This window comes from Homo sapiens, chromosome 1, assembly GCF_000001405.40.
Source record: "Homo sapiens chromosome 1, GRCh38.p14 Primary Assembly".
NCBI lineage: Eukaryota > Metazoa > Chordata > Mammalia > Primates > Hominidae > Homo > Homo sapiens.
The window spans coordinates 98392254-98396999 of NC_000001.11; the positions used below are offsets into that span (position 1 = coordinate 98392254).

The 4746-nt window shown below is 36.3% G+C and overlaps 1 long non-coding RNA gene across 1 annotated transcript; it reads left to right on the forward strand.

Moving 5' to 3' along the window:
- The first annotated feature begins 325 nt into the window (after positions 1 to 325).
- On the forward strand, positions 326 to 4233 carry LOC124904229 (uncharacterized). Its single transcript, XR_007066242.1, has 2 exons — positions 326 to 980; positions 1410 to 4233. It is a non-coding gene; the product is annotated as an uncharacterized LOC124904229 (long non-coding RNA).
- Positions 4234 to 4746: the final 513 nt, after the last annotated feature.

The window sequence follows — 4746 nt, forward strand, 5'->3', positions numbered from 1 at the left end:
AAATAAGCGGACTAGGATTGGGTTGACTAGAGGGGTAATTTGTTTCAAAAAACATAAAGACTAATAACGTTCTCATCTGAGAACTGCTCACCTTACCACTGCCATCGAGTTTCAAATTCAGTAGGTATGGGGTAGAATATAGGGCATAAGAATCAGCGTTTTAATGTGGTTCCCCTGATAATTGTGTCATAAAGCCAGGCTTAGAAATCAGGGGCCTGCAGCACACACGACTGGCATCAAGATCATTCACGGTTGGCAGTGGATCAGTGGCAGTCTGGGGTGGAAGAGCACGGAAAGCCATGCTCCCCAGAATCCATGGATCTGATAAAACTCGTGAGAAACTTTTTTTTTAATTGCATATAGAAGTTGAGCAGAAGAAATTTGTTGTTATAGCCACATTAACAAAACACATTTTTACAGACCAACTTACAGCTCATGAAAAAGGCTTTTTTATATGAATGGCTTTACCACCATATGGTTGCTGTGAAGTCACTTGTCAGCCTAGGACAAGTAGAGTGTGATCTCACAGAGAAGCTCATGGAGTCTCACGAAAATCTGCTCAATGGTGAGGGGAGTCAGAAAATGTTTTAAAAGGACAACTTTTACCCTGATTATAATAGCATTTTAGAGAATTTTAAGTGTGGGAAGCATAGATGTGACAACATAGTACATCCAAGGATAGCTAACAGAAATGTATCAATAGGAATAACAGAACCGATGACTCAACAATGATTGGTAATTAGGTTCTACAATAAGCTGCATAATATCAGAGAAATGAAGATATTGTTAATTGTTTTTAAGAGACTCCTCAGAGGCCAAAAATGATTCCCCGACTGGCCTAAGCAAAACCATAATGGAAGTTAAGCTGTTGGCACAGAGAAGCAAACAAGCAGCAGGAATCTAGATGTTCATCTTTTCCTTTGTGAAGTCCATACTGTGTGCAAGATCCATGGTTAAGATGATAGAGGGAGTGGGCTTAGGTAAGTATACTGTGCCAAGCGTACTTCCTAGAGTGTGTAAAATGAACACTGCCAGGTTCTAGGTGTAGCTCTTCCTAGTTAAACATAGAGTGGAGTGATGCCCATAAGAATACAATCTTAGCTCTTATTGGTAGTAATACAATCACAGCAGTTTTATGAGAATTAAAAATGACCATAGAAACATGGGGATACGAAAAGCTATTTAATTAACAGACTTTCTCAGATAAGGTGATTGACCTATTTGATAAGTTGAAAAAATAGTTCCATTATTTTTCTAGATTTTCTTGCCCTGTATATGTGTGATGATCTGTCTGACTGTCACAAATACCAGTAGTATAGCACTGATACTTACAGTCACAGCGTTGTTTAAATTCTTACTTTCAAAGAGCATAATTTCTGCCAGGCCTGACTTTTTTTCTTTTTTTTTAGGTCTCATCCTATGAGCTTGTGCTGATTTGCTGATTTACATATCTCCACTGGCGAAAATCATATCTGTTCCTTAGGTCCAATTTTCAAGTTCCAAGCATTGGCAGTGTGACCACAAATATCTATGATCTGATGCTTTATTTGATTTTTGTGTGTTTGTTTTAATGGAAGTGTAGAAAGGGAGGGAAGAAGGGAGGGGAATATTTGATTTGCTGTCTAGCCAACACAATTCTAAAAAGCATTAAGTGGAAACTGCTACAAGTGTTTATTTTCTAACTCTTTCTGGTATAATGGGAACAGTCAAGATCTGAACAAGAGTCGATATAAGGTTTGCGGTTTATGATAAGCATATCAGCCAGTGGATAGACTAAACCCCAGTGACAGCTGTGATGGTTCTTGGAATCAGACATCCTTCAATAACATGTTTCCCCAAAGCTTATAGACATTGTTGTAGAATAGGGTCAAGGCTTATGGCAGATGTTGAATGTCTCTGAGCTATATGAAATTTCTCTCTGTGGATTCGTGCCTAACAACCATTACATCAAACCACAGGTACAATGAAGCCCATTTTCCTTTTTGACGTGATACTGTTGTTATTTTAGAGGCAAAGCCTTATGCTATTGCTAGCTGAAAAAGACACTAAAAGCCAAAAGAGTGCAGGCACAGAATTGGGAACAATTGGGCTATAGTGACCATGAAAACATAAAGCAATGATTTTACCCAGCACAAACCATGTAGGTCATTACAGTATGGTGTCTTGGAACAAGGACACCTAAAATAACAATGATCATTGCTTAAAAAAATTAATTTTGTGGAAATTCTTATAATGTTAACATACTTCATAGATATGATTCTACCCAACTGTGACCTTTGTTATGATAGCAAATGATCATTTTTTTCATAGAAAAAGAAAACTCGACTGCTTAATTGATTGATTCATTAAAAGAAATCTTGTAATTGAACTATCATGCCAAGTTTACTATGAGCATCTGATAAAAGAAAGTAAGATGATAAACAGCAACGGGTCAGATGGCTTCCAAATATCAGTGAACGTCCATAATACCTATTGAACTACTTGTAATTCATCAATAAATACTGGATGGATAGAAATACCCTTGGTAATGTGGATAAAGTTAAAGGAAGTAAAAGTAAAATTTCTGTACTCACTAGGCATTCTTGGAAAAACTAAATTTATTTTAAGAATAGTAACAGGAAAATTGTAAGAAAATACTAAGAAACAAAAATTACAGGGCTGACTCAAATTATTAATAATGTTAATATATAAAGCTGCCATCTTAATAGTTTATAAAAATGTTATATGTTATCTCATTTTATAAGCACAATAATAAAATGACTTGCCTCTCATCAATATCATACTCCTATCAGATCCTGGGTGATAATCCTATCTTCCCGCCACCAGAGTACTCTTCTTTCCACACTTTTCTATCAGTGAGCGACAGAAAAAATTTAGAAAAGTTCAGTAGAAAAATACACCTGAAATTTGATTACAGGATGTAAATGCCTTTGACCCTGAATATCAGATATGATTTGCTCTCCAGGATTTGTTGACCTTTGGTGGAAAATAATCTACCAGACCTTGTGAAGAACCAGGAGAAGGGTAACAGACATCTAGCTGCTTGATTCTAGTTCCATTAAAGACTACTTCAAGGAGGAAGAAGAGTTTTCCTGAAAATTGGCCAGAGGCCCCAGTTCACAGAAGTCCCTTTGCAGGTTGGCCTCTTTGTCTCCTACATGGAAGGAAACTATCATCATGTGTCCTCAAACCCCTGCAATCCTGTCACTTTGCAAGATGTATCTAGCAGTTACCAAAAAAAAAAAAAATGAAATGGATATTCTACAAACTGCTAGAGAACAGATGTCTTGAATAGGCAAGACAATACTCACATGATATATGGTTTACTTTTTCCTGATGCGTTGTTTTGTTTTTGGTTCAGCGAATAAAACATACATTCTCCTACGCGCATTCTCAAGGACCAGAAGCATTATTTTAAAAAGTTCCTCCCAGGCTGGGCACAGTGGCTCACACCTGTAACCCCAGTACGTTGGGAGGCCAAGGCAGGTGGATCACTTGAAGTCAGGAGTTCGAGACCAGCCTGACCAACATGGTGAAACCCCGTCTCTACTAAAAATACAAAAATTAGCTGGGCATGGTGGCACACACTTGTAATCCCAGCTGCTTACGAGACTGAGGCAGGAGAATCCCTTGAACCCAGGAGGTGGAGTTTGCGGTGAGCTGGGATTGCGCCACTGCACTGCAGCCTGGGAGACAGAGCAAGACTCTGTCTAAAATTAATAAATAAATTAATTAATAATCTATTTTCAAGCAGAAAGGAATATCCAGTTTTTAAAACATATTCTGCAATGTTATTTGTCACAAAAATATTTATATAATAGTGTACATTTTTATTTTTCTTTGTACTTAATTTTTCTAAGTATCATTCTAAATATGGGAATAAATCATTGCAAAGCATTACATTTGAATAGTTTAGCAACATTAGCCAGTAATCTCAAAATATTGTTTAACTTCGACTTTTTTGTGACCATTTAAAAAAGAAGTATGCGTTTAAGTTACTACATGATGTACTCTATGCCTGCTGTAATCCTATTAACAAAGTTTTTAATTCTAGAAAATAATAGAAAGCCTAACATTTTACTTCCTTTTAAAAAAACATAATATTACATATATAAAACTTTATCAGAGTTAATATGATAAGCTAAGCAGAAAAGTTTAATATTATTTATGGTTTCATGATGTGTAACATGGTAATTTGGGCCTTACCTAGTAATAAACCTAGTTCAAATCCAAGTTTTTTCTTGTTTTTGCTTCCCCCTTGCCTCCCAGTAACATAACAGAACTCCTTTAAAGATGTGAAACAGATTTTATACCTTCTTCCCAGTGCTGATATTTCAGGAAAAAATCTCTCACCATTTAGACAATGAGTATGCAAAATGGGAAGTGGAAACTCAACACACATTTCATTAATTCGATCTAAGTAAATATCCTAGAGATAACTCAGTCTGAAATAGCCACACAATTTCCAGCAATGTTGTGTTTCTTAATAAATATAAAGTGCAATGTTAAAGTCACTTACCTTCTCTATTGCAGGAATGAAATTATTTGGGTTGGTTATCTACATGGATCAGAGTGCCAAGTCTCCCTTCACTTTGTAATGCATAGACCTAGCCTTTGTTCTGTGCCCCTGAGCATTATGGTAAAAAATGAAAGCAATTAAGGAGTTTCTGGGAATTATCTTATTATTAAGAATTGCAAACTCATCTGGCATAAAGAGAAATGATAGTAAAAGGCTGACAAATGTCT